Source organism: Homo sapiens, chromosome 22, assembly GCF_000001405.40.
Source record: "Homo sapiens chromosome 22, GRCh38.p14 Primary Assembly".
NCBI classification, from domain to species: Eukaryota; Metazoa; Chordata; class Mammalia; order Primates; family Hominidae; genus Homo; species Homo sapiens.
Window position 1 is genome coordinate 43,109,058 of NC_000022.11, and position 22,018 is coordinate 43,131,075.

At 55.1% G+C, this 22,018-nt stretch overlaps 1 protein-coding gene across 1 annotated transcript, besides 7 other annotated features; it reads left to right on the forward strand.

Moving 5' to 3' along the window:
* Positions 1,643 to 1,812: a silencer, noted in NCBI's record as "silent region_13853". NCBI's record gives its function as "represses an Ori minimal core promoter by ATAC-STARR-seq in GM12878 lymphoblastoid cells {active_cell/tissue: GM12878}" and the evidence as "EXISTENCE:reporter gene assay evidence [ECO:0000049][PMID:35858748]".
* Positions 1,643 to 2,318: a biological region, named in NCBI's record as "H3K27ac-H3K4me1 hESC enhancer GRCh37_chr22:43506823-43507381".
* On the forward strand, positions 1,693 to 20,655 carry BIK (BCL2 interacting killer). The gene is made up of 5 exons (NM_001197.5): positions 1,693 to 1,746; positions 14,959 to 15,126; positions 18,640 to 18,738; positions 19,439 to 19,568; positions 20,156 to 20,655. The coding sequence occupies exons 2-5, from the start codon at positions 14,966 to 14,968 to the stop codon at positions 20,246 to 20,248; spliced, it is 483 nt and encodes a 160-aa protein (NP_001188.1). The 5' UTR covers positions 1,693 to 1,746; positions 14,959 to 14,965; the 3' UTR covers positions 20,249 to 20,655.
* Positions 1,760 to 2,318: an enhancer, noted in NCBI's record as "H3K27ac-H3K4me1 hESC enhancer chr22:43506823-43507381 (GRCh37/hg19 assembly coordinates)". NCBI's record gives its function as "activates a minimal SCP1, AML or CMV promoter by ChIP-STARR-seq in naive H9 embryonic stem cells {active_cell/tissue: H9 hESC(naive)}" and the evidence as "EXISTENCE:reporter gene assay evidence [ECO:0000049][PMID:30033119]".
* Positions 2,343 to 2,562: a silencer, noted in NCBI's record as "silent region_13854". NCBI's record gives its function as "represses an Ori minimal core promoter by ATAC-STARR-seq in GM12878 lymphoblastoid cells {active_cell/tissue: GM12878}" and the evidence as "EXISTENCE:reporter gene assay evidence [ECO:0000049][PMID:35858748]".
* Positions 10,180 to 10,339: an enhancer, noted in NCBI's record as "active region_19183". NCBI's record gives its function as "activates an Ori minimal core promoter by ATAC-STARR-seq in GM12878 lymphoblastoid cells {active_cell/tissue: GM12878}" and the evidence as "EXISTENCE:reporter gene assay evidence [ECO:0000049][PMID:35858748]".
* Positions 19,513 to 20,390: an enhancer, noted in NCBI's record as "H3K4me1 hESC enhancer chr22:43524576-43525453 (GRCh37/hg19 assembly coordinates)". NCBI's record gives its function as "activates a minimal SCP1, AML or CMV promoter by ChIP-STARR-seq in naive H9 embryonic stem cells {active_cell/tissue: H9 hESC(naive)}" and the evidence as "EXISTENCE:reporter gene assay evidence [ECO:0000049][PMID:30033119]".
* Positions 19,991 to 20,040: an enhancer, noted in NCBI's record as "active region_19184". NCBI's record gives its function as "activates an Ori minimal core promoter by ATAC-STARR-seq in GM12878 lymphoblastoid cells {active_cell/tissue: GM12878}" and the evidence as "EXISTENCE:reporter gene assay evidence [ECO:0000049][PMID:35858748]".
* Positions 20,656 to 22,018: the final 1,363 nt, after the last annotated feature.

A 22,018-nucleotide genomic window follows, 5' to 3' on the forward strand; every position in this document is an offset into this window, starting at 1 on the left:
GAGACCCCGTGTCATTGCTTTACCTCCCTGAGTCTCAATTTTTTCATCTGCAAAATGCATTCAGAGGGAAGCCCCCATTATGAAGGGTTCCCTGCTCCTGACTGTAAGGCACTCTGTGGCTGTTAGCCACAGTCAGGGCGAGCTGCTTTGTAGGGGTTGATGTAGTTTGGAGGCCCTAGAAGAAAAGACTACAGGGCCGGGAGTGGTGGCTCACGCCTGTAATCCCAGCACTTTGGGAGCCCGAGGCCGGTGGATCACCTGGTGTCAGGAGTTCAAGACCAGCCTGGCCAATATGGCAAAACCCCGTCTCTACTAAAAATACAAAAACTAGCCGGGCATGGTGGCACACGCCTGTAATCCAGCTACTAGGGGGGCTGAGGCGGGAGGATTGCTTCAACCTGGGAGACAGACGTTGCAGTGAGCCAAGATTGTGCCACTGCACTCCAGCCTGGGCAACAGGGCTAGACTCTGTCTCAAAAAAACAAAAACAAAAACAAACAAAAAAACCCCACAAAAGCAAAGAAGGTCCAGAGCCCGGAAGGCGGGAGGGGCTCTGAAGACTTTATCACACTTTACCTCCTCTGTTCCTCCCAACAGCCCAGCTCTTGGTAGGTGCTGTTGTCCATTTCACAGATGAGAACATTGAAGGGGAAGTAATTACCCTAGAGGTGGGAAGAACAGAGTGAGGGTACCCAACAGGTAGCAAACGACAGAGCTGGGGGAGGGGAACCCCTGTCCCTGCCCCTCCCCTAATCTCTGAGGGGATCAAGACAGAAGTAAACAAGCTTTGCCGTGCCCAGGACAATTGTTACTTTGTTATTCCAGGAGCGCTCTGCCTTCTCCCACCCCCAATATACCCCAGGGCTGGAGTTAGGTCCTACCCATCCCCGCGTAGCAGGCTGCCCACCCGCCCACCCCGCCTGGAAGCTTTCTGATTTCTCTGTTCGCCCCGCCAGGCGCTGTGGGGTCCGTCTCACCAGGTCTGCACGTGAGCCCCCTGCCCCCAATCCCTCCCAGTCCCGCCCGCCTCTCGCGGACCCGGAGCCCCGACGGGAGGGGGAAGGCAGTGGGTGTGTCATGCAGCTGGAAGGCTGCGGACGGGCGGCAGTGGAGGGGCAGCCCCCTGGCTTCGGGTATGGATCACTGGATGCTGCTGCTAACCAAATGTGAACCTCGGTTTTCATATTTGTGAAATAGGCTTTAAAACACCTAAATCCCAAAGCTGCCAGCCTAAGGAGCACACGTCTTTGAACGCTGGCTTCACGCTGTCATTTAAGTCATTTCGTCCTCTTGGAGCCTCGGTTTCCACGTGGGTAAAATGATCGTGAAAAAAAGCACCGAGGAGTACTTTGAGCTCGAACGGAGGCCATCCGTGTAAAGGGCCAGATTCTGTCAATGGATCGATCCCCCCGATATTGATGGAAACCCCTGAGTGCACGCCCGTGCTGGGCGCAGGGGAAACAGCGACGCACGGGACAAAACAAGCTTGCAGAACAGCAGGGGGCAGAGAGGCTGTAAACAAGCCAACGGGCTGCACTTGTAGCGGTTCTGTTGCCAATGCCATTCAGACCCCAGTCCGGGATTCCGCGCTCGGGGTGCGAGAGGCCGCTCCCGGGGAGGGGCGGGACCCGGGCGGGGCGGGAGGGGCGGGGCGCCCGGGCCTATTAGGTCCCGCGCCGGCAGCCGGGCCGCAGACACGAAGCCTCCCGGGTGGCTTACAGACGCTGCCAGCATCGCCGCCGCCAGGTGAGTGCCCCCGACCCTGCTGCCGCCCGCTGCTCCGCCCAGCTCGAGCCCGGCGGTTAGCGCCCAGGCCGCGGCCCGGGTGCCGAGCGGCTGGAAGTGTGGGGAGCCGTGCCCAGGTTTTACCGCTCCAGCAAGTCGCTGGCGGGGCGACGTCTCGGGACTCCGGCTCCGAAACGTACCCTCTCTGTCCGGGGCTCCAGGTCCCCGACGGGCGATCGTGCCAGGCGCGGCCCCTGCGGGCCTCAGTCTCCGCGCCTGTGCAATGGGGTGGTCCCTCTGCGTCTCGCCGCGACGGCTGGACGCCCCATCGCCGCCGCACAGTCCTCCAGTGCGGCTTCCGGGCACCCGGCTCCGAACTCTGGGGTCGTGCGGACCCGGCCAGACCGTAGCGCGGCAACGCCAGCCCACGGCCGCGGCCGCACAGCCCCGGTGCCCTTAAAAGAGGGAAGATGGCGTCGTGCCCGGTGCCGCCGGGACCGGCTCCCGGAGGCGCTGCGCACCTGAGGAAGGGCCGAGGAAAGGCTTCGTAACGGGACGCCCAGAAAGTCCGGAACAGGAACGTGCACACGGAGCGGCGCGCAGCCGCCCGCCCTCGCTTGCCCACGCGCCCTGCACAGGTGCGCCCCAGACTGGGCGGGGACTAGAGCCCGGCTGGGGCATGCGACCTTGTTTGGTAAATTGGAGGTGCGCCCCTGCGGGTGACCCGCGAGGGGGCCCCCCGCCTGCGGGGCGCGGTCACGACAAGGCTTGTGGGGTTCGGAGCTGGTCGTCGTCTGGGCTCTGGCCTCCTAAATGCGATCGCTTTCAAGCCCTTCATTGTCAATTTTGCTAGAATGAGCCACTCGTGGGGTAGGACGTGGTTGTTGATGTTACTGTTGTAGCTCTTACTATTGTAACATTTTTGTTGCTGTTTTAACGCAGTGTTTACTGTGGTCTGGGAGCCCGAGCTTCCCAGGGAGCATTGGTGTCAGCCTCATGTCCCCGCATTAGGAGGAGCGCAGTCTGGTGGGCACTAGCGCCGGGAAGTTCTTAACATCTGTCTGCCCCTGGGAGCAGGAGGCCTCATCTTCCAGGTGGAGAAACAGAGATTTCAGTCCCAGGAGGCACAGAAATGCCAGGGTTGTCTAGCTAGAAGCCAAGGGCCCTTTATGGAACCCAAGCCAAAACCTCTTTCCACTCTCCAGCCCTGTGGCCTCGGAAGGGCCACTCCATCTCTCTGAACCTCAGTTTGTTCTGTTCACTCTGCAAAATGTATCCCTGAGGTTTCTGGCCAGGTGAAAGCCCCTCTCAAGTTAGTAGCCTCCCTGGAGTTAAGACTCACCCCGATTTCTACTTAATTTGGGCACGCCTTTGGAATAAGTTCTCAGGAATGGCACAGTTTGGGTGTTTTTTGTTTCTTTTTGTTTTTTTTTGAAACAGAGCTTCGCTCTTGTTGCCCAGGCTGGAGTGCAATGGCGCCGTCTCGGCTAACTGCAACCTCGGCCTCCTGGGTTCAAACGGTTCTCCTGCCTCAGCCTCCTAGTAGCTGGGATTACAGGCGCCTACCACGAGGCCCAGCTAATTTTTTGTATTTTTAGTAGAGATGGGGTTTCACCATGTTGGCCAAGCTAGTCTCGAACTCCTGACCTCAGGCGATCCACCCGCCTCAGCCTCCCAAAGTGCTGGGATTACAGGTGTGACCCACCCCGCCCGGCTTGAGTGTTTAAATACTCCTGCCTCAGCCTCCCAAGGTGCTGGGATTACAGACGTGAGCCCCTATGCCTGGCCCTTTTTTTTTTTTTAATTGTCTTAAGGATGTTAAGACTAAGATTCTCACACATTTGACTCGTGCCTGTAATCCTAGCACTTTGGGAGGCTGAGGCAGGAGGATTGCTTGAGCTCAGGAGACTAGACTGGGCTAGACCAGACTGGGTAACATGGTAAAACCCTGTCTCTACCAAAAATACAAAAAATTAACCGGGCATGGTGGCATGTGCCTCTGGTCCTAGCTACGCAGGAGGCTGAGTTCAGAGGCCTACCTGAGCTTGGAGGGGTTGAGGCTGCAGTGAACCCTGATCATGCCACTGCACTCTAGCCTGGGAGACAGAGTGAGACCCTGTCTCAAAAAAAGGAGCATTAGGCTGGGCATGGTGGCTCACATTTGTAATCCTAGCACTTTGGGAGGCCGAGGGAGATGGATCACCTGAGGTCAGGAGTTGTGAGACGAGCCTGGCCAACATGGCAAAACCAGTCTCTTTTAAAAATGCAAAAATTAGCCGGTCGTGGTGGCGTGTGTCTGTAATCCCAGCTACTTGGGAGGCTGAGGCAGGAGAACTGCTTGAATCTGGGAGGCAGAGGTTGCACTGAGCGGAGATCACACCATGGCACTCCAGCCTGGGCCACATAGGGAGACTCTCTGTCAAAAGAAAATTTAAAAAAGCATCAAATGGTAGATCCCCAGTGTCTGTTACAGCTTGGGTACTCTATGGCTGGATAGAGAGGCTGCATACATGTTAGTTATTGTAAGTTTGTTTGTTTTTTTGAGACGGAGTTTCGCTCTTGTTGCCCAGGCTGGAGTGCAATGGCTGGGAATACAGGCGTGAGCCACCTCACCCGGCTCAAGATTCTTACACATTTGACTTGCCTGTAATCCCAGCACTTTGGGAGGCTAAGGCGGGAGAATTGCTTGAACCCAGGAGGCGGAGATTGCAGTGAGCAGAGATGGTGCCACTGCACTCAGCCTGGGCTAACGTGAGACTCCATCTCAAAAAAAAAAAAATTACGTCTTGTGTCACAGAGCTGCAGATAAACCAGAGACTACTCATAACCGTGTACTTTTTTTTTCCCCCATTTCTGATCCCGTCTCAACGGAAGGATGTAATTGAGGAAGGGCTTGATTGGCCAGTGAGTCTTGAAGCTGACACCACTGCTGGTGGTATTTTCCCCTCTCCCTGGAAAGCATCCTGTTTTTAGTGAACCTATTAAATGTGTAGACAATTAATGGCTTTTTGCTTCCCCTGCTGCAGACTTAGCGGATCCCATGAGATTTTGACTACCGTCTGTGCTCAGAACAGTTTGAGCCGTATGGAGGAAGTCTCCGCACCAGTCTTACTGTTGGTGGTCACCAGGAAGCCAGCAGTGTGTCTGAACTGGACACATGTGGCCACTTCCTAGCCTCCCTTTGTCCTGCCACTGGTTGGTTGGGGCTGGGCCCTGGGAGAAACATAGAATGTGAGCAAATCAGTCCGTGGCCCCTAAGTTCCTTGTTGGCCCCGAGGCAGGCAGGAGAGGGGCGGGCACACAGGGCAGCTGATTTTCCTAGTGTCAATATTAGGATGTGACAATACAAAACACCACTGGGCCTCGCCAGGCACTGCATGGTAAACCTGTTTTTCTGGGGGTGGGACAGAACTTGGCACCCAGTTAGCCAAACTGAAAAGCCATGCAGCAAAGAGAGAAAAGCTCACTTGTTTATTTGAGTGAGGGTCCCTGTCATTTTGGATATTTAAGATCAAGTATTCTTGACCGCCCCCTCCCCGAGATGGAGTCTTGCTCTGTTGCCCAGGCTGGAGTGCAGTGGTGTGATCTCAGCTCACTGCAACCTCTGCCTCCCGGGTTCAGGTGATTCTCCTGCCTCAGCCTCCCGAGTAGCTGAGATTACAGGCGCGTGCCACCACACCAGGCTAATTTTTGTATTTTTAATAGAGATGGGGTTTCACCACGTTGGCCAGGTTGGTCTTGAACTCCTGACCTTGTGATCCGCCCGCCTCAGCCTCCCAAAGTGCTGGGATTACAGGTGCGAGCCACCGTGCCTGGCCAAGAGATGACATTTATTGTGTGTGACAGTATCTTCGAGATTAGAGGCTCCCTTTCATGTGAGGGCAAAGAGAGCTACCTGATTCCAGGAGGAGCTGAAATTCCCTGTGCAGACAATGGCGCATCATGAAGATAAATCCGAGCTCGGACCGTGAGGTGGTCAGCACGGGTGTGCGCCTCGCAGAGCAACAGGCTCACAGAATGAGAGCTGCCTCTTAGTGGGCACTTACTGCATACCATGCATGCAGCATTTCACCTCCTTCTCAGGGCTACATCTGCCCATGGGGCTTTCCCTCCTGCCCTTTAACAGAAGGTGATACTGTCCAGTCCAGGGTCTCCCAGCCAGGAACAGCCTGCCATCGTGAGCCCAGCACCAGAGTAACCCCTTCCCTCATTCTCAGGATTTTGCAGTGAACTCTCAGGCTGTCTGCATCCTCTCACCGGCTTTCACTGGGTCCCTGCTCTGTTCTGGGGCCATGCAGGTTCCCGACTGGCTGGGGCAGACACACAGGTAAACATTTAACGAGACCTTGATGGGCTGAGTGCCCAATCCAGGTCTGTTTACCCAAGGTGCTGGGACAACACAGATGAGGAGCATTTAATTCTGTCCTGGGGAGGGTGGGGAGGAAGTGACTTGTGCCTGAGCCCCAAGGAAGCAGTGAGTCCCCCGTGCCTGCCTGGGGGATGTTGGTAACAGAGGGAGGATGTAAAGGAGGAGCTGGGGTGTGAAAGGGCTGGGTGCAAGTTCATAGGGGAGACCCAAACACTGAAGTGGAGCCCAGGGGCCGTACCTGCCTCTCAAGCCTCAGGGTCGGGGCCAGGGTGAGCAGTCTTCATATTCTTCAGCCTCAGCATTTCAGAACTTGTTTTATTTTTTTTTTGAGATGGAGCCTTACTCCTGTCGCGGGGGCTGGAGTGCAGTGGCGCGATCTCGGCTCACTGCAACCTCCACCTCCTGGGTTCAAGTGATTCTCCTTCCTCAGCCTCCCTAGTAGCTGGGATTACAGGCGTGCGCCACCACGCCTGGCTAGTTTTTGTATTTTTAGTAGAGATGAGGTTTCGCCATGTTGGCCAGGATGGTTGTGAACTCCTGACCTCAGTTGATCCACCTGCCTCAACCTCCCAAAGTGCTAGGATTATAGGTGTGAGCCACCGCGTCTGGCCTATTTTTTATTTTTGATTGAGTCTTGCTCTGTTGCCCAGGTTAGAGTGCGGTGGCACGATCTTGGCTCACTGCAACCTCTGCCTCTCAGGTTTAAGTGATTCTCCTGCCTTAGTCTCCCGAGTAGCTTGGACTACAGGTGCCCGCCACCACGCCCGGCTAACTTTGGTATTTTTAGTAGAGACACTGTTTCACCATGTTGACCGGGGGGTCTTGAACTCCTGACCTTAGTTGATCCATCTGCCTTGACCTCCCAAAGTGCTGGGATTACAGGAGGGAGCCACCGCGCCCCGGCCCAGAACTTGTTTTAAATATGAACTTTTGAAACTTAACAACTGTAGGCCCAGGTGGTGGCTTGGCATTCTCTGCTTCCTTCATGGTGATAAAAAGGCACAGGCTTCCCCTTTTTGGGGTCATTTCAAAATCAGTCAAGAGAATTATTAGTCTGTTAGACTTCCTCTACGGTTAGGATTATTTTTATAGGTGTTCGAACAGGAAAGGACATAGAATAAAATCTCCTCCCCTAACTTATTGATACAGGGTCTCACTCTGTCGCCCAGGCTGGAGTGCAGTGGCGCAGTCACAGCTCACTGCAGCCTCAACCTCCTGGGCTCAAGTGATCCTTTCGCCTTGTGCTCTTAAAGTGCTGGGAGCCTCCAAAAGGCTAAGCTGTGACGTTGGGTAGGTTACATGTATTAAATGCATTTTTTTTTTTTTGAGACAGTTTTGTTCTTGTCACCCAGGCTGGAGTGTAATGGCATAATCTCGGCTCACTACAACCTCTGCCTCCCAGGTTCAAGTGATTCTCCTGCCTCAGCCTCCCGAGTAGCTGGGATTACAGGCGCCCACCCCCACGCCCGGCTAATTTTTGTATTTTTAGTAGAGACAGAGTTTCACCGTGTTAGCCAGAATGGTTTCGATCTCCTGACCTCGTGATCCGCCCGCCTCGGCCTCCCAAAGTGCTGGGATTACAGGCGTAAGCCACCGTGCCCGGCCTGGTGAAACCCCGTCTTTACTAAAAATACAAAATTAGCCAGGTGTGGTGGCGTGCACCTGTAGTCCCAGGTACTTGGGAAGTTGAGGTGGAAAGATCACCTGAGCCCAGGGAGGTGGAGACTACAGTGAGCCATGTTCATGCCACTGCACTCCAGCCTGGGTGACAGAGAGACCCTGTCTCAAAATAGTAATACTCCATATTGGGCCTCTCACAGGGGAATCTTGGGGGGAGCTGCAGCTCAGGGTGACTCCCATCTTGTCACTAGCCAGGTGACCCCTTCATTCTGGAGCCTTAGCTCTGAAAGCCGCAGGTGGGGGTGCCGTTTCAGATGCCCCTTTTCCATTTCAAAGGCTCTGATTCTAGATCTTGAAGCCGGATGCGGCACTGGCACTTGGCTTCAGTTTCCACTGTGACGGACGGAGGTCTCCCAGGCCCAGCCCAGGCAGCCAAGCCCATCCTGGAATCAGAACACGCTGAGCACATTTTGTAGGGTGGCACCTTTTTATCCAAGTTACTAGCTACACATCAGTGTTTAAAGAGAAAAAAGTGAGCTGTCTTTTTTTTTTCTTGAAACTTGAGGAAACAAGGTACATACTACGGATTTTTTTTTTTCTTTTTCTTTTTTTTTTTTGAGACAGTCTCACTCTGTCGCCCAGACCGGAGTGTGGTGGCATGATCTCGGCTTACTGAAAGCTCTGCCTCCAGGGTTCAAGCCATTCTCCTGCCTCAGCCTCCCGAGTAGCTGGGACTACAGGCGCCCGCCACCACGCCCAGCTAATTTTTTTTGTATTTTTAGTAGAGACAGGGTTTCACTGTGTTAGCCAGGATGCTCTCCATCTCCTGACCTTGTGATCTGCACGCCTCAACCTCCCAAAGTGCTGGGATTACAGGCGTGAGCCACCGCGCCCGGCCCATATTTTTTTTTTTTGAGATGGAGTTTTTCGCTCTTGTCGCCCAGGTTGGAGTGTAATGGTGTGATCTCGGCTCACTGCAAACTCCTCCTCCCAGGTTCAAGCGATTCTCCTGCCTCAGCCACCCGAGTAGCTGGATTACAGGCGCGCACCACCACACCTGGCTAATTTTTTTTGAAACGGGGTAGAGACGGAGTTTTATTACCATGTTAGTCAGGCTGGTCTTGAACTCCTGACCTCATGATCTGCCCACCTTGGCCTCCCAAAGTGCTGGGATTACAGGTGTAAGCCACCGCGGCTGGCCCATTTCATATATTTTTAAAATTTTTTATTGTTAATTTATTTTTAGAGAGGGGGTCTCGTTGTATTGCCCAGGCTGGTCTTGAACTGGGCTCGTGCGACGTGCCCGCCTCGGCCTCCCGAAGGGCTGTGATGACAGCACAGCGGTGCCTGTGATCTATGGCTTCAATTTTTCAAGGCTGCCAGGTCCATGCAGGGGTGTGTGTGGGATGCATCCCTAGAAATCAAAGGTCATGTGCGTGTGTGACTGGTGGATGCTGATGGTCACACTACCCTCCAGAAAGGCAGCAACATGTTCAGTCCACCGTGGCGTCCTGAGCTGTGAGTGGCCTCTGGTCTCCTCTCTTCTAAGGCTGTTGATTGTGTTAACCAGCTTTTATGGAGCCCCTGCTAGGTGGTGGAAAATGGGCAGTAGTGTATGTTTTCATCCTCTCAGCAGCCCTGGAGGCCCGGCTGTTTCTGCAAGGCTCAGAGGTGAGCTGGTTGTTCTGCCTCACACAGCAGGGGCCGAGCAGGGGGTGGAACTGAGGTCCAGCCTGGCTGCAGGCTCAGGGCGTTTCCTGCTGGGTTACACTGGAGTTGTGTGCGCTCCAAGGGCTTTGTGCCACCCCACCCTCATGGTCCAGGGCCAGGCTGTGACTGGGAGGGTGGCACGTGGAAGACTGGACCAGGGTTTTCTAGCTGGGCCCACTCAGCTGGCCCTCCCTGTGACCCCAGCGTGGCCCCTGACCCTCTCGGTTTGCCTGCCTGTGAAACAGGAAGTGTCAGATCCCGCCTGCTTGGCTTTGACAGGACTGGGCGAGGTCATGAGAGTCTGAGGGTCCCTACCAGGAGTTCGACCTCATCCTCAGGTCCAGCCCCATCCACCTCTGCCCCCAACCCCGCTCTGACACTCCTGCAGCCTCGGCCCTCGAACACCTGCTGAGGGCTGAGCAGAACACATCTCTACTTGCTTGTGCTTCTGGGCAACCTGGGAGGGGCTTGGGAGGTAGATGGCGTTTCCCCATCTTCCAGATGAGCCATAGGCGAGCTGTCGAGTGCAGAGCTGTTCACCAAATGTAGGCTGCTCTGTCCAGAACCTGCCCTCCCTCCCACTCGGAGCCCTGCAGGTGCCCTCAAGGCCGTGGGTGTGGTACTCTTTTCTGCACATACTAGATTTGCATCCTAACCTCTTAGGGTAAAATAGGGCTTCTGACTGGCGCCTGGTGTTTCCACTGGTGAGTGTGTAGGAGGCTAAGTGCGGGCTGTAGCCTGGGTGGGGACACATGGCTAGGTGTGTCTTCCTTCACCAAAGAAGGGTTTCAACTACTCATTTGCAAGTTTGCTGGAAAAAAAAAGATAATAAAAACCAGTCCAGTTTCCTGTATCTGCAGCTGCAGTGACCTCACAGTGGGTCCTCTGGGAATAGGTTGCCTTCATGTCTTCAGTCAACAAACATATGTCTGCTCTATGCCAGGCCTTGGGCTGACAACCAGAAACTGATAAGAGCAGCAGCCCCTCTCTTAGCGGTTTACTCTGTGCCGGATCATTTCATCCCCACAACAGTCCTGTGCAATAGGTGTTACTAGTATCTCCATTCTAATTTTTTTTTTTTCTGATATGGAGTCTTGCCCTGTAGCCCAGCCTGGAGTGCAGTGGTCAGCTGGAGCCAGAGGGGAGCAGAGACAGGGGCTGCAGGACCCCCAGGAGGCCCCCAAGCAGACTCTGAGGGTCCAAGAAGGTGATGCCCGAATAGGCCAGCCTCATACCCATCCTCTCAGTACTTTGGGAGGCCCAGGCGGGAGTTGAAGCCAGGAGTTCCGAGACAAGCCTGGGCAACAAAGCAAGACCCTATCTCTACAGCAATTCTATAAAAATGAGCCAAGTGCAGTGGTACATACCTGTCGAGTTACCCTGGAGGCTGAGGTGGGATGATTACCTGAGCCCAGGAGTTTGAGGCTGTAGTGAGCATGATCAGGCCACTGCACTCCAGCCTGGGCAAACGGGTGAGACCCTGTCTGTGAAAAAAATAATAATAAAATTTAATTTTTAAAAAAGGACCAATAGGCGTAGGCATGGGCCGGTCTGAGGTTGGCTGGTGAGCTCTGCACATTTGAAGACTTTGGAGGCATGGCAGGACCAGGCACCATCCATGGAAAGCATACTTGAGTGTGGTTAGCGCGGGAACCAAGATTGGGGTGGCAGGGCCACAGGGGGAGGGCCTGTTAGTGGATGTGGCACAACCCCCCACTTGTTTTTGAGACAAGTCTTGCTCTGTCACCCAGGTTGGAGTGCAATGGCGCGGTCTCGGCTCACTGCATATTCTGCCTCCTGGATTCAAGTGATTCTCCTGCCTCAGCCTCCCAAGTAGCTGGGATTATAGGCGAGCGCCACCACACCTGGTTAATTTTTGTATTTTTAGTGGAGATGGCGTTTCACCATGTTAGCCAGGCTAGTCTCAAACTCCTAAGCTCAGGTGATCCACCTGCCTCCACCTCTCAAAGTGCTGGGATTACAGGCGTGAGCCGCACTGCACCAGGCCAGGTCTAGGGAGCCGAACAGAGCAGTGACAGGGTCAGGGTTGAGGCTGCTACCTTGAGATTAGGTTGGAGAGAGCTCCACTGAAGGCTGGAGACCAGTAAGGCATTCAGAGCTGGTGCCAGGTAGGAGCTGACAGGACTGGGCCTCCCTTGGGCTGGTGGGGTGGCCAGGAGAGACCAGAGCAGGAGGTCGCTGCTGCAAGGACCCTCCTGGGCAGGCTCCCCACCTTCCGCTCCCTGGCTCCACACTTTTCCCATGCAGATCTGGGCCCTAAGGCCAGCCTAGGCCCAGTTGGTGATGGGATCTTTGCCATTCATATCAAGTCAATCTGAGGGCCTGGGCCCAGAGGCCAGATGGTTAAAGGTTCAGATTAGGTCCCTTCTTTGTGGTAGAGGGTAATGGGTATTTAATAAATTAATCCAAAGTGCTGTAATCCCAGTACTTTGGGAGGCTGAGGCGGGTGGATCACTTGAGATCAGGAGTTGAGACCAGCCTGGCCAACATGGTAAAACCCCGACTCTACTAAAAATACAAAAATTAGCCGGGTGTGGTGGCATGTGCCTGTAATCCCAGCTACCTGGGAGTCTGAGGCAGGAGAATCACTTGAACCTGGGAGGCGGAGGTTGCACCTGAGCTGAGATCACACCACTGCACTCCAGCCTGGGCAATAGAGTGAGACTGTCTCAAAAACAAACAAACAAACAAACAAAAAAACACTACCACCAACAAAAACACAATAGATGGGGAAACTGAGGCTGGTGCAGGAAGGGTTGGGCTAGGGTATCAACCTAAGGTGAGATGTGGTCCTGGGTCTACTCAGATGGGGAGGTTGGCAGGGTGGGGAGCTTGAAAGGGTCTTGCAGGCAGAGCGTGGGTGACTGACTCCTCAGGTAGGCCTGACCTGCACTCTGCTGCAGACCCTCGGCAGCGCAGCCCACTCTGGTGGCTGGGGCCTTCTTCCTATCTGGCGCCTAAGGATTCTCGGAATGCCTGCTGGGTAAGGGGGCTGTGGGCACAGTGGGTCAAGGCGAGGCTCGGTGCAGCTCACAGCTCAGCTCACAGTGAGGTGAGGTTCCACTGTTGCTCTGGCTTTGCGGGGCGTGGAGGTACTGGGGTCTCCAGGAGCACAAAGCAGGAGACTGCCTTTTCGAGGGGAAGGGAAAGGGGGGAAAAGCAAACAAGGGCTGGAGCTGCTTTCCTAGGGAAATGCCATTTGCATAGACACCCAAGGCAGCTGGAAGTTCTGGACACAGTTCTTCTAATGCCAGCTTAACACGCACACTGCTGGCCGTCTATACAATGTAAAACATCTCATCTGTGAAACCTTATTTTTTCTTTTTGAGTCAGAATCTAGCTCTGCCTCCCAGGTTCAAGCTGGGATTACAGGCGTATGTCACCACGCCTGGCTAATTTTGTATTTTTATTAGAGGCGGGGTTTTACCATGTTGGCCAGGCTGGTCTCAAACTCCTGACCTCAGGTGATCCGCCTGTCTCAGCCTCCCAAAGTGCTGGGATTACAGGCGTGAGCCACCGCACCCGGCCCATCCATCTCCCTTGAATGCTGAAAGCAAGTCGTGAGCACACACTTGTGCCTAGGCCTGTGGGAGGGCGGCGCTGTGGGTCCTGCCTGCCGTCAGTTTTCTCTCTCCTGGGGGTCAGGGAGACTTGGAGCTCTGTCCCTTCTTGGCTTAGTCATGAACCTCTCTAAGCCTCAGTGTCCTGTGTGAACAAACAGCTCAGTGAGATGGTGGGAGGGCGGAGTGTCCTGTCAGCAGGCATGAGGAATTAAAAATTAAGAACACCCAGGGCATTATGGTAAGAAAATAATGAGTTGAAGCATAAAGGTAATGGTTAGTGCCAACTTCCTCCCAGCGTGCCAGGCCCTGTTCAAAGTACATGAAGGAGTTCCTTATTTCGTCTTCCCAATAGCCCAGGGCGGGGCTCTCAGACCATGAAACCCATTTCACAGATGAAGAAATTGACACACTGCTGCTAACTGCCAGAGCCGGGCTTTGAACTAGGCCATTAGATTTCCGTGCCACAGTCATCGTCATTATCGTCATCTACATCTAAGGCTGTTTGGTACCCTGTAGGGTAAATGTGGGGTACATGATGGTGAATCAGGTCGCAGAACCCTTCTCTGCCATCATGATGAAACATGTACTGGCATGGGATTCGCAATGATCATAGTTAGGAAGGCCTTTGGTGGCAAAGAAGAGGAAACTCAGTGAATGGTGATGAGGACACATTTGGGTTCATTTTTCTTACACACAGTTGGAGGAGACAGCTCAGTGACACCCTCAGGCCTGGCCGCTCTCTGCCTCCCCACTCTGCTCTTCTTGGTCAGCCACTGCAGCTCCATCTTTGAAGGAGCTGCCCTGGCTGTGTCTACTCCCTGGCATCCAACCCCTGCCTCCAGCCTCTGAGCCCTCATTGACCAGAACTGGGTTACATGGTTGTCACCAGCTGCAAGGGATGCTGGGAAGCTGAGGGAGAGGAGGGCCATGGTTGGCTTAGATGAATGAGGATGCAGGGCCACCCCGAAGAAAATTGGGGTTCTATCAGCAAGGAGCCAGGTGGAATGGATATCGGAGAGGTAAATAGCATCTGCCAGTAAAGAAGGCTGTAAGACACTGTATGGGGTGATCCCATTTGTGAAGAAGGATGTGTGATGCGCACAAGTGTTTAGGAAAAACACTAGAAGAATTAGCGATGGTCTCTCTGGGAATGGGGATTGTGATACGTTTTTCTCATGCTGCCTCTCTGCCTTTCTTCTCAAGAGAAACAGCAGACACCAAAGAACAGGTGTAGCCTTCTGTTAAGTGGTACAGAGGAATCGCCCTGCAGCCTGGCCTCTGTCCCCTGTGCTGACAGCAGGTGCCTGGGTTTTCTGCTTTGACAGGTTCTTGAGGGCTGGTGTCCGAGGAGAACTTCTAATATTTATTTATACTCTGATTTTGTTTCACAAAGAAGAAAAAGGCTGGGCGTGGTGGCTCATGTCTGTCGTCCCAGCACTTTGGGAGGCCGAGGTGGGGTGGATCACTTTGAGGTCAGGAGTTCAAGACCAGCCTGGCCAACATGATGAAACCCCCGTCTTTACTAAAAATACAAAATAATTAGCCAGGCATAGCTCATGCCTGTAGTCCCAGCTACTCGGGAGGCTGAGGCAGGAGAATTGCTTGAACCCAGGAGGCAGAGGTTGCAGTGAGCCAAGATTGTGCCACTGCCCTCCAGCCTCCAGCAAGACTCAGTATCCAAAAACAAAGAAAGAAAGAAAGGGCCCTTATGAATCATCTTCAAGTTCCTCCCTTCCAAGAACAGAGATGCTAGGCGACTTGCCCAGAGGCACACAGCCAGCATGTAGCAGGATTCATGCCTGTGGGAGCTGGGGTTGGGGGATATTGACGGCTTTAGCGGATCAAAAGAGCTGGTGAGTAGGGCTATACAATCTGGGGGTCATCCTGTGAGAGAGCCCCCAGACTGCTCAGTTCTTAGGGGTCCAGTCATATGCTGTCTTTTTGCCCCAGAGGAGAAATGTCTGAAGTAAGACCCCTCTCCAGAGACATCTTGATGGAGACCCTCCTGTATGAGCAGCTCCTGGAACCCCCGACCATGGAGGTTCTTGGCATGACTGACTCTGAAGAGGACCTGGACCCTATGGAGGACTTCGATTCTTTGGAATGCATGGAGGGCAGGTAGGTCCCCATGGCCTGCCCTACCCCCTGCCTGATAGTGACTTCAGGGGTGGGCTGGATGAGCAGACATTCTATGAGCGGGGGAGCGCCTGCAGATGCCTCCCAGGCAGGGCCTCCGAGAGGAAGATTTCCCGGATGTGGGCATGGAGGCTTCTGCCCTGGGAGCGGCTTCACTTTGCTGCCCCACCCTCCCCTGATACCAGCTCACAGACCCCTGGACAGCCAGCATGTTCACAGTCTCAAGATGGACCTGGGGCCCCTGGCTGTCAAAATGGCACAGTGTTTGGGCCTCAGGGAGCTAGACAGGCCCTTAGCGACCTGCTGAGGACATCAGGGCCTCTTGAAGGAGGTGACTCTGTTGCCAGAAAGGGGACCCGATCCAGATCCCAAGAGAGGGTTCTTAGATCTCAAGCAAGAAAGAATTTGGGCCACACGCAGTGGCTCGCGCCTGTAATCCCAGCACTTAGGGAGGCTGAGGCAGGCGGATCACTTGAGGTCAGGAGCTCGAGACCAGCCTGGCCAACATGGCAAAACCCTGTCTCTACTAAAAATACAAAAAGTAGCTGGGCCTGGTGGCACATGTCTGTAGTCCCAGCTAGTCGGGAGGCTGAGGCAGGAGAATCTCTTGAACCCAGGAGGCAGAGGTTGCAGTGACCCAAGGTTGCAAAAATGCACTCCAGCCTGGGCAACAGAGCGAGACTCCATCTCAAAAAAAGAAAACCTACTCTATAGGCAGAGCAGCGGCATGGGCTGCTCAACTGAATATACTTATAGTTATTTCCTGATTACATGCTAAACAAGGGGTGGATTATTCATGAGTTTCCGGGTAAGGGGTGGGCAGTTCCCGGAACCGAGAATTCCTCCTCCTTTTAGACAATATAGGGCAACTTCCTGACGTTGCCGTGGCATTTGTAAACTGTCGTGGCACTGGTGAGTGACTCCAACATGCTAATATAGTTGGTGCACAATGAATAGTGAGGATGACTGGAGGTCACTTTTGTGCCCATCTTGGCTTTGGTGGGCTTTGGCTGGCGTCTTTGCCGAATCCTGTTTTATCAGCAGGGTCTTTGTAACCTGTATCTTATGCTGATGTCCTATCTCATCCTGTGACTTAGAATTCCTAGCCTCCTGGGAATGCAACCCAGTAGGTCTCAGCCTTTTGTTACCCAGCCCCTAATCAAGATGGAGTCGCTCTGGTTCAACTGCCTCTGACGGCTCTCATTTTAGAAAACCAGAACCGGGCCGGGCGCCGTGGCTCATGCCTGTAATCCCAGCACTTTGGGAGGCTGAGGTGGGCGGATCACCTGAGGTTGGGAGTTCGAGACTAGCCTGGCCAACATGGTGAAACCCAACCTCTACTAAAAATACAAATGTTACCCAGGTATGGGGCCGGGGGTGGGGGGATGGGCGCTGGTAGTCCCAGCTACTCAGGAGGCTGAGGCAGGAAAATCACTTGAACCCGGGACGTGGAGGTTGCAGTGAGCCCTGAGATTGCACCACTGCACTCCAGCCTGGGTAACAGAGTAAGACTCCGTTTCACAAAAAAAGAGAAAGAGAAAAGAAAGAAAGAAAAAAGAAAGAAAACCAGAACCTATGGAAGAGCCTGAGGAGGCCATGCAGTTCCTGGTCCCGGCTTCAAAGAATCACTGAGGCATGAAGAAGGGATCTTCCTTGGACTGACAAGGACCCTGGAGGCAGCAGGATTTGCCTGGGGTTTCAGGGGCCAAGGTCCAGTAGGACCTGACCCTTGCACTCTGCCAACTGCTCCCAGCTATGTCCAGCACACGGCAGCATACCCAGATGTCCAGGCACACCCGGCCATCCCAGCGGCAGGAAGGACCTGCACTTTTTTTTTTTTTTTTTGAGACAGAGTCTCTGTCACCCAGGCTGGAGTGCAGTGGCATGATCTTGGCTCACTGCAACCTCCACCTCCCGGGTTCAAGTGATTTTCCTGCCTCAGCCTCCTGAGTAGCTGGGAGTGCAGGCGTGCACCAGCATGCCCGGCTTTTTTTTTTTTTTTGAGACGGAGTCTCGCTGTGTCGCCCAGGCTGGAGTACAGTGGCATGATCTCTGCTCACCACAAGCTCCACCTCCCTGGTTTACGCCATTCTCCTGCCTCAGCCTCCTGAGTAGCTGGGACTACAGGCGCCTGCCACCACACCTGGCTAATTTTTTGTATTTTCAGTAGAGACAGGGTTTCATCATGTTAGCCAGGATGGTCTCGATCTCCTGACCTCGTGATCTGCCTGCCTCGGCCTCCCAAAAAGTGCTGGGATTACAGGCGTGAGCCACCACACCCGGCCAGGACTGGCACTTTCATTCTTCCCCTGGTACAGATGAGGAACGTGAAGGCCCAGGAGCAGCTGACCTCAGTAGTTTCTACCCTGAGCCTGGAAGAGAATGGTCAGGCCTGACCTGGGCTGTTGCTTTCTGCTGGGGAATCCTGTCTCTGATGTGGCACCTCCCACAGGCCAGGGACCAGCTCCATGTTCCACAGGATTCTTTTCTGCTCAGGATTTTTTTTTTCAGCCTCAGGATTTTTAGTCATTAAGGATTTTAGAACTGGAGGCACCTGTCCATTAATGGACAAGGTTGGAGGACATGAAGCCTGGGGCAGTATTTTCCTGAGGTTTCCCAGGGTAACAGAAGGTAGGACCACAGCCCCCAACCCTGATTGCCAGCCCACACCTGTACCCCTCCCACCCGCATCCCCTCCAAGTAGGGAGTGTAGGCCCAGGGCATTGGCAGGTCAGGTGGGTGGGGCCAGGGCCCAGGGCCGGCCTCAGCTCAGGGCCCCTAGGAGTCCCACTTCCCTGGGAGTTCCCCCGGTGTAGTCACTGGGATGGAATGCACACAGGTCCCTGGTAGAGGCCCAGACCAGCAAGCTGGGAGGGTGGGGAGTGTCTTAGTCTTTGTGTGGGAGTGAATGCGGGTGGGGTGTAGGATCAAGGATGTGGTTTAGTGGGGGGCCTACTAGGGGCTTCTTAGTCCCCCCATTTGGAGAGGGGTGGTGCCAGCAGGGCTGGTTTCAGGATTGGGACCAGGACACAGGTCTTAGAGCCCCCTCACCTCCCACAAAGGAAGGTAAGCTGCAACCCCTGTGGGAAGGGGGCTCAAGGGGGCTCAGCCATCCGGGGGACTCAGCACCACCAGACCTGTCCATTCCCCTTGGTCAGCCTCAGCCATCCGGGGGCTCAGCACCCCCAGACCTGCCTGTTCCCCTTGTCCACCATTTCCACCAAAGCCCACAGGTGGGCCTGCCCCAGGATTCTTTTTGAAATAGCTTGCACCTCTGGGGCCACCCACGGATGGGACCTCATGGGTATCTCTGAATCCAAGTGGGAGCCGGAGGAGGGATACAGGGAGGCCCACTCACTGCCTGCCCCAAATCTGACACCATCTCTTATCCTCTGGGCCACTCCCAGCTGCACACAATCCGTTGGCTGGGTGGGTCCAGGTGCATGTGGCCTCCACGGCACAGCCACACCCGACTCCTGTGTGTGCTCCCTGCAGTGACGCATTGGCCCTGCGGCTGGCCTGCATCGGGGACGAGATGGACGTGAGCCTCAGGGCCCCGCGCCTGGCCCAGCTCTCCGAGGTGGCCATGCACAGGTAGCCGGCCTATGCCCTATGCCTCTACACCTGGGGAGGGGCCCTGGGCGGTGGGTGGAGGCCCTGAACACAGCACAGGGCTGGGCCCTGAGGAAGCTCTGTGGGGGATGTGCCTTGACACTGGGGCTATACTGAAACCCTTGGCTGCTTCCCGCACCTCTCCTGGGAGCCCCCAGCTCCTGGCACTCGCCCCCTGCCACCTGTCCCTGGCATTCCTGGGCAACAAAGCAGAGCCCAGGGCCCTTTTCTCTCTCGCCGTCCTCATTGAGCCCAGATGGTACATTTCCACCGTGGTCTTAAGAGGGGGTGCTACGTGAGCTCGGATCCTAGATCCTGGGGGCTGGGCCTCTCAGCGAGTCTCCGGTGGGGGAATAGAGTGGGCAGTGGCTTGTGAGGGCCCTGTAGAATGGGGGTTTATTTTCCACGTGGCCAGCTCTGGAAGACAGGGCCAAACACCCGGTGGGCTGGCGGGCGGCTGGCTGGCGGAGGAAGCAGGAAGTTGGAATGAATTTGACCACAAACAGTCCATACCACGCGGCCCCTGCAGGTGGAGGCGCCCACGGAAAGGGCCCCGGGTGGCTGTGGGGTGGGAGGGCACAGGCCCCTGCTCCCCACAGCTGTGATGGTGTCATCTAAGTACAGGCTGCCCCTACCTGCTCCTGCAGTAATGGCTTTGTCCCCCCATCCTCTTTGTCTATAGCCTGGGTCTGGCTTTCATCTACGACCAGACTGAGGACATCAGGGATGTTCTTAGAAGTTTCATGGACGGTTTCACCACACTTAAGGAGAACATAATGAGGTTCTGGAGATCCCCGAACCCCGGGTCCTGGGTAAGAGCCTTGAGATCCCTGACCCTGACTTGCGCTGCGGCCAGTGGGGGCTGTCAGAGCCGCTCCTTGGGGCGCCACAGTCCCCACCACTCCGTATCATCATCTGTGTCACCTGTGTCCACATCTGCCTGATCCCATGGGCTTTTGGGTTTGAGATGCCTGGTTCTGAGTGCACAAACCAGTGCATGGTCCTGGGTCTCCCTCTGGTCCGAGAGCCTTCACCTGGCAGGCAGGACTCCCGTCTCCTGGCCAGGGCAGGGGCCTCCCTGAGCAGCCTTCCTGGTAGCCTGGTCCCATGGTGTCCACTCGGCACCGCCCACCACAAGGGCAGCTGACTGCCCTCACCTGTGCCCACCGGGTGTCTTTGCCTGTGTCCCGCAGACTGGCAGGCCCAGGCCACGCTGGCCTCTCTGGCCACGTCCTCAGGGCCACTTTCCCCCTCTCCTGAACTCCTTCCTTCTCTGGTCCCCTCGAGCTCCTTCCCAGTCCCCACCCTCCTGGGCTTCCCCTTGGCACTCCGCTGTCACCCGTCTGGCCCCATTGCCGGGGCCTGCCCCGAGCCTGACTCCTCTGCTTTGCTCCCACAGGTGTCCTGCGAACAGGTGCTGCTGGCGCTGCTGCTGCTGCTGGCGCTGCTGCTGCCGCTGCTCAGCGGGGGCCTGCACCTGCTGCTCAAGTGAGGCCCCGGCGGCTCAGGGCGGGGCTGGCCCCACCCCCATGACCACTGCCCTGGAGGTGGCGGCCTGCTGCTGTTATCTTTTTAACTGTTTTCTCATGATGCCTTTTTATATTTAAACCCCGAGATAGTGCTGGAACACTGCTGAGGTTTTATACTCAGGTTTTTTGTTTTTTTTTTATTCCAGTTTTCGTTTTTTCTAAAAGATGAATTCCTATGGCTCTGCAATTGTCACCGGTTAACTGTGGCCTGTGCCCAGGAAGAGCCATTCACTCCTGCCCCTGCCCACACGGCAGGTAGCAGGGGGAGTGCTGGTCACACCCCTGTGTGATATGTGATGCCCTCGGCAAAGAATCTACTGGAATAGATTCCGAGGAGCAGGAGTGCTCAATAAAATGTTGGTTTCCAGCAGTCTCTGGTCCTCTCTGGGGGGTTGGCAGCACCAGCACGGGCTTCCTCTCGCCCCAGGGAGGCACACTGTGTTGGTGGGGAGGGCAGGGCCTGTGTGCTCCTAATCAGATCCTTCCCTGCAAAAGGGGACCGCAAATGCTGCCTTGGTTTGGCCCGACGGTTTGCCTTCTCCCTTGTCCCGGTCTGTGGCCTAAAATCCACTGTTGGGGGTTATTTCCTTTGGGCTTTCAGTTCCTCTTTAGGGGATGCCTGCCTCTCCCTGCACAGACTCCTCACCACAGGGATGCAGCCGTGGCTCCGCTCACAGGGAGAGGTGTGGTGGGGATTGGGGAGCAGGACAAGGGGCACCAGGGGCAGGAGGGCCAGGACCCTGCTTTGTACCTTTGTAGGCTTGGTACCTGCCCTGGGCCTTGCCTCGTGCCATTTGTAGACCCCACCAGGCCTCCCTCCCAGGACATCGGCTCTGTGTCTGCCCTCCACCCCAAATGTCAAAGCTGGGCTGGGCCGGCCACCATTCTCCAGCCCCCAACCCCCCTCATCCCCAGAGCTGGGAGATGCAGCTGTTCATACCTCCCAGGCTGGCTGGGCAGACCCTGCATCCTGCTCACTCCTCCCTCCATCCTGGCCTCCAAACCAAAGGGGACCTCCAATAGGCTTTCCTGCCTCCTTATGTCTTCTCTCCCCAAGGTCTGGCCCTTTGCAGCCTTTTTTTTTTTTTTTTTTTTTTTTTTTTTTTTTTTTTAATTAAGAGACTTGGCTTTCCTGTGTTGCCCAGGTCGGCCACCAACTCCTGGGCTCAAGCAGTCCTCCCACCTCAGCCTCCCAAATAGCTGGGTCTGCAGGCACACACACCACTGCACACAGCCCTTTGCAGCTTTGAGGCCTGACTTCACACACCGTTTTTTTTTTGTTTGTTTTTGTTTTTTGTTTTTGAGATGGAGTCGGCCGGGCTGGAGTGCACTGGCGCGATCTCGGCTCACTGCAACCTCTGCCTCGTGGGTTCAAGCGATTCTCCTGACAGCCTTCCGAGTAGCTGAGACTACAGGCATGCACCATCACGCCCAGCTAATGTTTGTATTTTTATTTTGAGATGGGAGTTTTGTGATGGTTGCCCAGGTTGGAGTCCAGTGGCTTGATCTTGGATCACTGCAACCTCCACCTCCTGGTTCAAGTGATTCTCCTGCCTCAGCCTCCTGAGTAGCTGGGATCACAGGCATGTGCCACCAAGCCTGGCTAATTTTGTATGTTTAGTAGAGGTGGGTTTCGCCATGTTGGCCAGGCTGGTCTTGACTCCTGGCCTCAGGTGATCCGCCCACCTCGGCCTCCCAAAGTGCTGGGGTTGCAGGCCTGAGCCACCATGCCT